General features: G+C 40.7%; 2 pseudogenes across 3 annotated transcripts in view; both read left to right on the forward strand.

Annotated features, from left to right (window-relative positions):
• ATP8B5P (ATPase phospholipid transporting 8B5, pseudogene) overlaps positions 1–13,786 on the forward strand; it is a 76,275-nt pseudogene that overhangs the window by 34,723 nt on the left and 27,766 nt on the right. For 2 of the 3 annotated variants that reach the window (NR_003582.1, NR_110320.1), the window contains exons 7-11: positions 2,908–2,980; positions 3,333–3,403; positions 4,928–5,010; positions 5,756–5,914; positions 7,992–9,638. The product of NR_003582.1 is annotated as an ATPase phospholipid transporting 8B5, pseudogene, transcript variant 2 (transcript). Of the gene's footprint in view, positions 1–2,907; positions 2,981–3,332; positions 3,404–4,927; positions 5,011–5,755; positions 5,915–7,991; positions 9,639–13,786 lie in introns of those variants that run through there. The other variant, NR_003581.2, reaches the window with a different exon arrangement.
• Positions 8,163–9,631, forward strand: ZFAND6P1 (zinc finger AN1-type containing 6 pseudogene 1; annotated as a pseudogene).

A 13,786-nucleotide genomic window follows, 5' to 3' on the forward strand; every position in this document is an offset into this window, starting at 1 on the left:
CAAGGTCAGGAGATCGAGACCATCCCGGCTAAAACGGTGAAACCCCATCTCTACTAAAAATACAAAAAATTAGCCGGGCGTAGTGGCGGGCGCCTGTAGTCCCAGCTACTTAGGAGGCTGAGGCAGGAGAATGGCGTGAACCCGGGAGGCGGAGCTTGCAGTGAGCCGAGATCCCGCCACTGCACTCCAGCCTGGGCGACAGAGAGAGACTCCGTCTCAAAAAAAAAAAAAAAAAAAAAAAAAGGAAAGTAGAGAAATAGAAATAAAAAGAAAAGACAAAACTGAGTATATTAGGAATTGCTGACCAAAAGGATTTAGTCAAATGAACTCACCCAAGTAGCTTGAGCACTTGGGTTTTATAAGATTATTGAAGAATTTGTCACAGAGGGATTTTAAGGTGGGAGTTAACAGGCAAGGCCCTGGTTAGACTTTGTAAGCTACCGAGTATCTGATTAGATTAATATGCAGAGGTGAGGTTGGTTGTTGAAACAGTCTGTGTTCCAGAAAACAGCTTTCTTTTTGTAGAACACATGGGTATAAACAGAGCTGCTATTTTAAAAGTTTGTCTATTTTATAAGCTGTAATTTTTGTCATTTTTCATTTCTCAATAATTTTGTTTACAAACACATCATTAGTAGAACTTTAAGGGAATTCTAAGTGGCTGGAGGAGAGGTTGTGTCCCTCTATAAGGGTTTGTGTTTGTTTCTGTGAGTTGACTCAAGGGTATTACCTGCTGATACCTAATTTGAAAGAAGTATAAATTTGAGCCCCATCCAATATGAGGTTACAGATTTTCAGGGAAGAGTCCTCCATTCACTGACCCCCACAACCCTCCAGACTAAGATAGACAAACTTTCTTGCCAGTGAGCCGATTTTTTTTAGACCACTCTTTCACTAATGGTGTTGCCCCTCAAGGGTCCTGACTTTATGAGAAATTCTTAGTTTCAACTCACTGACTCTCAAAATCATAAGGCTTTATCTCTTGTCCCTCTGGTGGGAGAAATTGAAATTCAAATTATTAGATTATTAAGACTGGCAATCCCTCCCCAACCCAAGGCAAGAACAGCTTCAGAACATGCTTACTGTTTTGGACTACAGGATTGAGTATTTTAAATCAGTAAGGAATGTCTTCACCTCTCCCAAATCTGGGACACATGATTGTTATAATGTCCAGGAACAAATTGGTAATAGTTTGGCAGCTCCTTATGTAAGAAATTATTAATTTTTATATCTCCAGGAGAAGCTAGAATGTGACAGCACTTGTTCTTCTTTATGTTTTACTGGTGACAACCGTGGAAGATAGAATGCCAGAGTAACAGTGAATGTCAAGTCAAGGCAAAATAAAACAAAGACCCAGATGTCTGTCTCCAAGGCTTATAGCTACTATTCTACAGTACTATCAGAAAATTCTTTAAAAGAAACAGTGGATTTATATAAAAGGACTTTTTTGGAAAATTTGGCCCTCCTCAAAGCAGCTGTCTTCTTAGGAAAGGTGTTCTAGGAATACCCATGCCTATGTGTAGCTGGCAAAGTGGTGATGTATGTCATGCCCTGCAGATAGCAATCCTGCATTCAGAGACAAAACAGACAGTGGACTGTAGACTTTTTCCCGCTCTTTGGGTGCTTGGCATAATATAACTGTTGCAAGGATATAGCTCATGTTTCCAAAATGCTTGTGGCAATATGTACATTCTTCTTAGTCCTTTCTCAGAGAGGAAGGATTTATGGACCCTGTGTATTTGGGGAAATTGAGGTTAAAAAAAAAAAAAAAAGAGGAGGGCAGAGAACCACCATTATTGTAGAATCTGCTCATATTGCCAGGCTGCCTTTTATGGAAAGTAGGGATTTGAGGATCAAAGATAATCTAATTTTAACCTAAGTAGATAAAGGCCAGGCGCAGTGGCTCACACCTGTAATCCTAGCACTTTGGGAGGCTGAGGCAGGCGGATCACGAGGTCAGGAGTTCGAGACCAGCCTGGCTAACATGGTGAAACCTCATCTCTACTAAAAATACAAAAATTAGCTGGGTGTGGTGGTACAAGCCTGTAGTCCCAGCTATTCGGGAGGCTGAGGCAGAAGAATCACTTGAACCCAGGAGGCAGAGGTTGTAGTGAGCTGAGATCATGCCACTGTACTCCAGCCTGGGAGACAGAGCGAGACTGTGTCTCAAAAAAAACAAAACGTAAGTAGATAAAATTGATGTGACCTTATGACAGAACACATTTAAGCTATCAAAAAGAATGAGCTACATCTTCTATAAGTGCTCTCCAAGATGGATTGTTAAATGAAAAATGCAAAGTGCAGAAAATTATGTATCTAGTACGTGGCTTTTAAATGTGATTTAGATGTGTATTATATGTGATTACATGGATTGGTATTTTCTAGAAATAAATACAAAAATATTATTAACAGCAGCTATCTTTGGGGAGCAAAACTAAAGGCTGGAAATAGAAAAGACTTTAATTTTTCCTTTTACACACTTTACCATTGGAACTATTTTACTTTAAAAACCTTTTTTTTTTTAATGTTTTTGAGGCAGGGCCTTGCTGTATTGCTCAGGCTGGTCTCGAACTGCTGGCCTCAAGCAATCCTCCCACTCAGCCTCCCAAAGTGCTAGGATTACAGGAATGAGCCACGAGACCTGGCTAAAAAAAAAAAAAAAAAAAAAAAAAAATTTATGTGCTTATATGTCTACAGGTACTTTTGTAGGGCTTTAGAACCCTTATAGCCTGAAGTCAAGAGAAATGGGCCCCACTCTTGATTGCAGCAAGGATGCATCACAGAACAGTTTGAGCCTTGTCTTTATTCCTTTCAGCCTTTTTTGGAGGGTGGGGAATCATCTTGATTGTCAAAGCAGAGCCTTGGGGAAATTCTCAGAGCAGATATTCAAGGGTCATTTTCTTACAGGATAAAGGAGGACAAATGGATGAATGTTCAAGTGGGAGATATAATAAAACTAGAAAATAATCAGCCTGTCATGGTGAGTACCTCTTTTGGCTGTGACTTGTTCTTTTTTGGATTGAGTGGGTACCAGGGACTCTTGGAGCACTTCTGCTACCACTCCTTTTGGTGACCTTTGTTGCCCATTTTGCATCAGAAATCAACAGCTCTTGCAGTAAGAAGCTTGTTCTTGCCTATTTCTCACTGTAGTTACAGGGAAAGTGTGAGTAGCTTTGGGAGAGGGTGTATGATAGCAGTGAAAGAAAGTAAATCAGTGTCTGTAAAATGCTTAGGTTGAACATCTGTTCCTAAGGTGACTGCTTTTGTCACACTGTAATGTTAACAGCCCACCTTCCTGCTTTCCTGACTTTTTTTGACTTTTCTGACTACAGGCAGATATACTATTACTCTCTAGCAGTGAGCCATATAGTCTGACATACATAGAGACAGCAGACCTGGATGGGTAAGTGTTCCCTCCTGATGCTCCATTAAGATGATTTAGCCAGCTTAGAGTGGTCTCTCACTGAGGGACAGCATTAGGCAGGGAATTAATTTTATTCTCAGATGGAATATTGAATAGGTGAGCCAGAGAGCCTAGAAATATCCAGATAAGAGAAGATGGACACCACATCGTTGGGACCCTCAAGTCTAAGACTGAGCTCTTGACAGGAACAATTGAGCATTCACTGGGCACAGAATAGGGCAAATAAACCCCACATTCTCCATCTCTAAATTGGAGACACTCTGGCCATATTCTATAAGGCTGAGTAGCAGGAAAGAGGATAACAGAACTGTAACATTTCAGAGTACAGTTTCAAAGTTTCCAAGGGAAAAAATGTGAATATAAACATATCTATTCACTGATAAAATACCATGTTCTATAAAGGATTTAAGGTAGACATTTATTAACATCCAAAAGCTAAGGTCTTAGGAGGATAGAGCCATCTGCAGAAAGCTTATCCTGGAGAGTTTTGTATTGATCTTCATTCCTACAACTGTACTTCTTGATGCACACAATTTTTTGAAACATGGATTCCATTTTTCTTTTTGTCTATGCATTCCAGCAAGCAGTTACTTAAGAGCCTGTCATGGGCCCCATAAATATTTATGAGGTGTGGAGTATGTTTCCTCGGAGGTATGTGCAAGTTTTTACCAGGATCTGCTCCTTATTCTTTTTTTAAAAAATTAAATTTAATTAAAAAAAATAGAGACAGGGTCTCGCTGTGTTGTCCAGGCTGGCCTTGAACTCCTGAGCTCAAGTGATCCTCCCGCCTTGGCCTTCCAAACTGCTAGGATCACAGGCGTGAGCAACCATGTCTGGCCATACTCCTTATTCTTTTTTTTTTTTTTTTTTTTTTTTTTTTTTGAGATGGAGTCTAGCTCTGTTCCCCAGGCTGGAGTACAGTGGTGCAGTCTCGGCTCACTGCAAGCTCCGCCTCCCAGGTTCATGCCATTCTCCTGCCTCAGCCTCCCTAGTAGCTGAGACTACAGGCGCCCACCACCACGCCCAGCTAATTTTTTGTATTTTTAGTAGAGACAGGGTTTCACTGTGTTAGCCAGGATGGTCTCGATCTCCTGACCTCGTGATCCGCCCACCTCGGCCTCCCAAAGTGCTGGGATTACAGGCATACTCCTTATTCTTGAAGGGAGCAGGTACTATCTCCAGGTTGTTTATGATGTTTCTTCAGCCTCTCTAGAGCACCTGACCAGCTAGATCTCATGAGTTGATTAAGTAGTGGCAGTGTGTTGCAGAGAGTGAGAGGAAAGAGACGGGAGTGAGTGAGCTAACACTCAGCTTCCTTGAAGAGCCATCTCACCTCAATACTGAGAGAGAAGCAGTGGGAGTGACTTTTACAGCTCAGACTCATAGCCCAGTCTCTACTGGTAACATCTATTTTCTAAAACCCCATGAAAAAGTAGGAGATACTGCACCCGTACAACAGTTCTGTTTGTGTCCTGTACAGTGGTCACTTGTCTTTTACTCTAGTGAAACCAACCTGAAAGTGAAGCAGGCCATCTCAGTTACCAGTGACATGGAAGATCGCCTGGAGCTTCTGTCTACCTTTAATGGTGAGTTAGGAAATGGGTTTTCCTACCTAAATTTTCATCAGTAGAGTACTGGTTAAATAAAGTATGGTACATCCATAGTGATTTCTATACAACTTATTACAACAATATGCAAGTTGATATTTATTGAAATATAAAAAATACAACATGTAATTAAAAGAAAAATACAATTTACAAAAGACTGCATAGTGTATATAACATAAACCTGTTTTTGGAAATATAGGTATGTTTATGAGTACTTACATAGAAAAAACATAGAAGGATGTACTTCAAAAGGTAAATAGCACTTTTCTCAAGACAGTGAATGAATTTTACTTCCTTCTTTACCATTTTAGTATTACTTAAACATTTACAAAGGGCATATTTACTTTACTAATCAGGAAAATGTCAAGTTGTTTCCATTTTGAAAAAAAATACTAGGTTCGCTTTGAGTCGTTTTTGAGTTTCTTCAGATTCAGAGCTCTTATGATCTGGCAGTACTGATGTCACCATCATGTGGGGTTTTCTCTCTCTCTGGATGATCCATGTCACATACAGAATTATTCTTCTTTAGTTCCCAGAAACCTTTGTCTGCCTTTCTTGAAGGAGCTGGTGAGAAATGGGCAGTAACTGAGAGAGGATAGGAAAAAGATGTGTATGTATTTTGAAAGAAGAATTTTATTTCCTCCTTTCTATTAAGTCTCCTTTCATCCTTAGGAAAAGCCTAAGATTAGAGATCCAGAACTCTTACACCTTCATTTTTCTGCAGGAGAAGTGAGATGTGAGGCTCCCAATAACAAATTGGACAAATTCTCAGGAATACTGACCTATAAGGGGAAAAACTACTTCCTGGACCATGACAAGCTGCTACTCTGAGGCTGCAACATCAGGAATACAGATTGGTGCTATGGCTTGGTGATCTACACTGGTACGTTTCCCTTGGCCCCCAGCCTGCTAAATTCCATTCATGGCTGAGCTATGGGTACTTAGTTTTCAGGATGTGGATATGACACTCAGATATATTTCAGAACACTATGGTTTTGAGATAGATAGGCAGGTAGAAGGATGGATGGATGGATGGATGGGAGATTTGTGGGAAAAAACCTTGTTTCTTAGGGAAAAAAAGTGCCTTCTGTTTCCAAGCAATGAACTTCCAACATATCGGTTCTACCTTTGTTAGAGGAAGGCATTGTGTTCCAAAACCACAGGGCATCCATGAGTCTCTTTAACAAGATCTGGACACAGGAGAGGGTATACATACAGAGGAAGTATGATAGAATTACCATGTGAAGGGGGAGAGTATACATATGAACTATTCCCATGAAGAGAGGATGGACACAATGCTTATTATAGAGAAAAATATAATGTAAAAAGTTCATGCCACAGAAAAGTCACATATGGATCATTAATAGTGGCCCCTCTTGAGATGTTATTTAGAACCACAATTCATTATATTTAGTAAGAGATTTTCTTGGGTTATGATGTGGTTCAGGAAAATGGAGGAAGCCTCTGTGCTGCCCCATTCTCTCAGTGACAACAACCATAGTAGGAAATATCAAGAAAGATTTACCACAGTGAATATTATTCAACTCAGATTCCCAGAGCTCCCCTTCTAGAGCATCTACTCCTAGACATGAGGCTTTTAGACTCCTTGCTTCTGTGAAAAGTAATGAGACCAAATCCCTAGGGAGAAGCTTAAGCGTCTAGGGAGGCCCTGGTGGAACTTCCTTCATTGGTTCTTGATCTAGAGTGGCAATGACTAGGCTACCTAATTCCCAAACTCAAAAGACTTAAATTAGACTTACTTTCTTCACTGTATGTACTTCAGCAGCTACTCACACACAATTGCCACTCATAAAAGCTCATTTTTCAGCGAAAGGTTTTTTTCCTGAAAGCAATAACAGTGGGGCTGCCAACCAGCACAAATGTAGTTAAGTTTTCCCAAGGTTGGTTACATGGTAGTGAGTATCTTTGGGAAGCTCTGAGCAGAGAACTAATGCCACCTAAAAGCATTTTGAGGTGTTTGCATGGAATTGAGTTGCTGTTCCTGCTACATGATGTCCAAGTTCTGTGATGATTTCTACCTTCTTCCTGAAGCCTGGGGTAAGGTCAGTCTAAGGACCCTTAGAAGATATGGTCCCTGTAGCTTCCAGGCTATGAGCCAAACTTCTCATATCTTGAAGCCCTTCAAGGAATGCTTAAGAGGAAAGAATGTCATAGCTTATGCTCTGCACTCCCACTGTTTGCCCACATATCAGAGATGTCCCAGCTCCCCATGTGTAAACATTGATGAAATTCCTTTTTCTGTCCTTTATCAGAACACATGTTAGAATAATGGTCAGATGGTGAAAGGCCAGAGAAATTATTGCTTACAGTTTCTTCTAAACCTCTTACATTTTCTCTGGAGCCATAGCTCGAATTAGTAATTTCCAGCTCTAGTCCCATTGGCCATTAAAAGCTCCTTACTTCTGCCTACCATCTGTCCTGTCATGAAGAAACATGGAATCTCTGTCTCTCAGCTCCAGAGGAGTCTCAGCTCCCCTGCTTCCACCTCAGAAGAAATCACTGCCATTGCCTTTTCGTTTCTTCCATTCCGAGTTAGAAACTTTCAGTATAGCCTGAGCCAGCAGTGAGCTTTCTCAAAAGATGATGGGGATCTCTTTATCAGAAAATTCCTTCTCTAAGCTAAATAAACCAGATGGTGATAAGAGAGAAGCTTGCAACTCCTCTTCTAATTTAACGCATCTATGAAAGTTGAGACTGTCTGAGGTGCTACAAAGAGAGGGATCTGCATGAATGTACTTTACAGAAGTCATTGGAACTATCCTTAGAAAAAATTTTCCGTTTTTTGAGTTATTGAAAACCGTGAGCCTTTCTCTAGGGCTTTATCCTCTAGCATTGGAAAGTGGTTAGATTAGATTATCATAAAGGTACAGTTCAGCCAATTCCAAGCCTCTGAGTATATTCAGTGATTCTAATATCTGATATCTTCCTGTTTTATTTAGGGCCAGATACCAAATTAATGCAGAATAGTGGAAAGTCCACTTTTAAACGAACACAGATAGACCATCTCATGAATGTCCTTGTACTCTGGGTAAGTTAAATACTTTTTTTTCTTTGTTTCTTTACAAATAGACATACTTCCCTTCCTTTCACAGGAGAAATGGTATTTCCAGTTCAGAATTTAGCTGTTTGAAAGTCTCAAGCACAGCTTCAAGTGAAGTTAATCTGAGGTGAAGCAAACAGAAAATTGTGGAGGTTTTGTTGGTGTGCAATGGAGGAACATGGCTCAAGAAACTAATCACAGCCAAGTACCTATGCTTTGTTCCACTGGCTGCGGATTTTATGGAAACCCTCGTACAAATGGCACGTGTTCAGTATGCTATAAAGAACATCTTCAAAGACTGAATAGTAGTAATGGTAGAATAAGCCAACCTGCAACCTCTGAATCTTTACCAGTTCAATGCACAGATGGCAGTGTCCCAGAAGCCCAGTCAACATTAGACTCTACATCTTCATCTATGCAGCCAAGCCCTGTATCAAATCAGTCACTTTTATCAGAATCTGTAGCATCTTCTCAATTGGACAGTACATCTGTGGACAAGCAGTACCTGAAACAGAAGATCTGCAGGCTTCAGTATCAGACATGGCACAGCAGCCATCTGAAGAGCAAAGCAAGTCTCTTGAAAAACCAAAACAAAAAAAGAATCTCTGTTTCATGTGCAGGAAGAAAGTGGGACTTACTAGGTTTGAATGCGGTGTAGAAATGTTTACTGTGGTGTACACTGTTACTCAGATCTACACAATTGCTCTTAAAATTACAAAGCTGATGCCGCTGAGAAAATCAGAAAAGAAAATCCAGTAGTTGTTGGCGAGAAGATCCAAAAGATTTGAACTCCTGCTGGAATACAAAATTCTTGATCATCTGCAAACTAAAAATTGACTTGAGGTTTTTTTTTCCCTAGTCATTGGGAAAGTAGAGCAGTGTATCTTGCATGTCATCGGATGAATAGATTTTTGTTTTGATTTTGTTTTGAAAATGACTCTGAACATTTATTTCCATTGCAATTTCTGTGGCTGAGAAGACTTAAACTTTACAAGTATTATCCTTATAAGATCATTTTAATTTTAGTTGAGTGCAGAGGGCTTTTATAACAAACGTGCAGAAATTTTGGTGGACTGTGATTTTTCCAGTATTAAATATGCATGCATTAATCTTGCAGTTTATTTTCTCATTGTGTACATATATATTGCTTTTCTTTGCAGCACGATTTCTCTTTTGATAATGCCCTTTGGGGCACAACTAGTTATCGGTAACTGAATGTATCTTAATCATTATGGCTGCTTCTGTTTTTTCATTAACAAAGGTTATTCATATGTTAGCATATAGTTTCTTTGCACCCACTATTTATGTCTGAATCATTTGTCACGAGAGTGTGTGCTGATGAGATTCTAAGTTTGTGTGTTTAAACTTTTTTTTGAGCGAGGGAAGAAAAAGCTGTATGCATTTCATTGCTGTCTACAGGTTTCTTTCAGATTATGTTCATGGGTTTGTGTGTATACGATATGAAGAATGATCTGAAGTAATTGTGCTGTATTTATGTTTATTCACCAGTCTTTGATTAAATAAAAAGGAAAACCAGAAAAAAAAAGTCTCAAGCAGTCTTAGGATCCCAGAGATTAAGATCTGAGGCAGAAAAGAACAGACAAATTACAAGAGAGTCTAGCTTACGCCTGTTAGGAAGAATAGTCACAAAGTGTTTAAAAAGATATCATGCTTTGATTAGTGGTACAAGAATGGATCAAGGACCCAGTTTAGAAATTAAGACATATTTTTATTTTCTCATAATCAGTTTTACTCATGACCACTTTAATAAAACCTTACTTAGACTAATAGAACACCTTGTTTGAACTGATGATTTTCAAACTCTTTTCTTAGAGGAGTCTTAAGGTCTGGTGCAGTGGGAATAGGGAAGATCAAGTGGATTTTATTCTATCCTCCTCATTTTGAAGTTCTTGCTTTAAAAAGAACAGCTTCATGTTTATCTATTTTATGAAATTTCAGTTGTAAAAATAGAAGGGGGTTCTATTAAGAAGTGAAATTTGAAAAGCACTGCAATATATAATAATCAGCTTTGATAATAGATGTTTAAATTGAAGACTAGTTAATAAATTATTTCTATGCTGTCTGATATAAGCTGCCTTTATTCTTATTAGTTATAGACAGATTAATTTCCTCTCTTAAACAGCTTCTTTGCATAGCTGAGCAGTTCCTGTAATGCCTACACTTGATCTCATAACTTTTCATGTTTATTTTTACTCTATTATTTAGACTCTGAAAACTCAAAAAAAAACCTTTTCTTTGTACACTCTTATCATTAATATCTGAATTATAAACTGCCTTTTTTCTTTATTATGGGAAACATCCCAGATCCTTTTCAAAATCCTTTGGATCTAGCAAAAGGGGTTTTAGAAAATTAGGAAGGTTCATTCAGCTCAGAATCTAGTATTCGTTCATTATACTTCTCTTTCTATTATGGAGTAAGTAGTTTTCAGCAGTTGATCAAAGTTCCATTTCCTAGTTTCTTAATGAAGAAGACAATCATGGTCAAGAATTAAGGAAGGTAACATGGGCAAATATGCTTTTGACAACATTAGCAACATACATCATTAGACAGTAAGCTAGGTCATTTAGCCTAGGCTTGTCTTCAAAACAGGATGTCTTCAAATGGGTGTGATGGCACACACCTGTAATCCCAGCAGGTTGGGAGGCCGAGGCAGGAGGATTGTTCAAGCCTGGAAGTTTGAGAGCAGCCTGGGAAACAGTGAGACCCCATCTCTATAAAAAACAACAACGAAACACAAAAACACAGGTGGAACAAGATGGCTGAATAGAAGTCTTTATTAATCACCCCCCCCACACACACTCCCACAAAAACACCAAATTTAACAACTATCCACATATAAAAGTACCTTCATAAGAAACAAAAATGAGTCGAACAATCACAATACCTGGTTTTAACATCATATCACCAAAAGAAGCATTGAAGACAATCTTGAATTGCTGATGCCACCATTCCCCCATCTCCTGGTGGCCATGCATGGTGCAGAGAACTTGTAAGCTTTGGGGAGGGAGAGCACAGCAATTGTGGAACCCTGCATTGAACTCAGTGCTGTTCTGTCATAGTGGAAAGCAAAACCAAGCTGAACTCTGCTGACACCCACCCATAGAGGGAGCATTTAGACCAACCCTAGCCAGAAGGGAATCGCCCATCCCAGCAGTCAGAACTTCAGTTTCGTCAAGCCTCACCACCTTGGGCTAAAGTGCTCTGGGGTCCTAAACAAGCTTGAAAGCAGTCTAGGCCACAAAGACTGCCATTCCTAGGCAAGCCCTAGTGCTGTACTGAGCTCAGAGCCAGTGGACATAGGGGGTCGGGGTGGGTGCACACAACCTAGTGAAACACCAGCCAGAGCAGAGAAGGGAGTGCTAATGCTACCCCTCCCACAACCCCAGGCAGCACAGCTTGCAGTAACAAAAGTGACTCCTTTCTTCTGCATGAGGAGATGGAAGAGTAAAGAGGCCTTTGTCTTGCAAATTGGAGACCAGGTCAGCCACAGTACCATAGGGCAGTGGACAGAGTCACGAGGCCCCCATTCTAGGCCCTAGCTCCCAGACAGCATATCTAGATACACCCTGGACCAGAAGGAAACCTGCTGCCTTCAAAGGAAGGACCCAGTCCTGGCAGGTTCATCACCTGCTGACTAAAGAGCCCTTGGGCCCTAAAGAACCAGCAACGATACCCAGGTAGTACATTGTGAGCCTTAGGTGAGACTGTAGAGTGGCAGCATCTAGACGTGCTGGCTTCAGGTGAGACCCAGCACATTCCCAGCCGTGGTGGCTATGGTGAGAGACTTCTGTTTGAGAAAAACAGAGGGAAAGGTAAAAAGGACTTTGTCTTACAGCTTAGGTACCAACTCAGCCACAGTGGGGTAGAACATCACGTGGGTCCTTGGTGCCCCTGATTCCAGCCTTGGCTCTTGGATGGCATTTCTGGACCTGCCTTGAGCCAGATGGGAGCCCACTTCCCTGAAGGGTGAGTCCCATGACTGACAGTATTCAACACAAGCTGATTAAGCCCTTGGGCCTTAAGTGAACATTGGTGGTAGCCTGGCAGTACCCTCTATAGGTCTTTGATGGTGGCCATGGGCACTGGCTCCTTTGCCTGTGGAAATGGGAGGGAAGAGTGGGAAGGACTTTGTCTTATGGTTTAAGGGTCAGCTCAGCCATAGTAGAATACAGTACCAGGTAGACTTCTAAGGTTTTTGACTTCAGTCCCTGGCTCCCAGGCTGCATCTCCGGACACCCCAGGGGCTGAGGAAATTTGCTGCACTAAAGGAAAGGACATAAGCCTGGCTGGCTTCACCATCTGCTGATTGTGGAACCCTGGGGCTTGAAGTGAACATAGGCAGTTGCCAGGTAGTGGTCACAGCGGGCCTTGGATGAGACCCAGTGCTGTGCTGACTTCAGGTGTGACTCAGCACAGTCCCAGTGGTGGTAGCCTCAGAGTTGCTTGTGTCACCCCACACACAGCTCTAGGTGGCTTGGCACAGAGATAGACTAAATCTGTTAGGGAGAAAGGAAAGAGAACAAGAGTTTCTGCCTGGTAATCCAGAGAATTCTTCCAGATTTATTCAAGACCACCAAGGTGATACTTCTATGAGTCTGCAAGAACTGCAGCATTATTGGGCTCTGGGTGCCCTCTAATGCAGATATGGCTTAGATCACAACACCCAAGTCCTTTCACATACCTGTAAAGCCTTCCCAAGAAAGATAGGTAAAAAGAAGCCCAGGCTGCAAAGACTATACAAACAATTAATAACTAACTCTTCAATGCCCAGACACCAACAAACATCCATAAGCATCAAGACCATTCAGGAAAACATGACCTCACCAAACAAACTAAATAAGGCACCAGGGACCAATCATGGAGAAACTGAGATATGTCACCTTTCAGACAGATAATTCAAAATAGCTGTTTTGAAGAAACGCAAAGAAATTCAAGATAACAGGAAGGAATTCAGAATTATATCACATAAATTTAACAAAGAGGCTGAAATAGTTAAAAAGAATTAAACAGAAATTCTAGAGTTGAAAAATATAATTGACATATTGAAGAATGCATCAGAGTATTTTAATAGCAGAATTGATCAAGCAGAAGAAAGAATTAGTGAGCTTGAAGACAGGCTATTTGAAGATACCCAGAGAAGACAAAAGAAAAAAAAATGAAGCATTCATACAAGGTCTAGAAAATAACCTTAAAAGGGCAAATCTGGCCAGGTGCAGTGGCTCACGCTTGTAATCCCAGCACTTTGGGAGGCCGAAGTGGGCAGATCACGAGGTCAAGAGCTCGAGCCCATCCTGGCTAACATGGTGAAACCCCGTCTCTACTAAAAATACAAAAAATTAGCTGGGCTTGGTGGCGGGTGCCTGTAGTACCAGCTATTTGGGAGGCTGAGGCAGGAGAATGGCGTGAACCCGGGAGGTGGAGTTTGCGGTGAGCTGAGATCGCACCACGGCACTCCAGCCTGGGTGACGGAGCGAGACTCCGTTTCAAAAAAAAAAAAAAAAAAAAAAAAAAAGGCACATCTGAGAGTTATTGGCCTTAAACAGGAGATACAGAAAGAGATATGGGTAGAAAGTTTATTCAAAGGGATAACAGGGAACTTCCCAAATGTAGAAGAAGGTATTAATATCTGAGTATAAGAAGGTTTAGAACACCAAACAAATTTAACCCAAAAA

The sequence above is a fragment of the Homo sapiens genome, chromosome 9, assembly GCF_000001405.40.
Source record: "Homo sapiens chromosome 9, GRCh38.p14 Primary Assembly".
Lineage (NCBI taxonomy): Eukaryota > Metazoa > Chordata > Mammalia > Primates > Hominidae > Homo > Homo sapiens.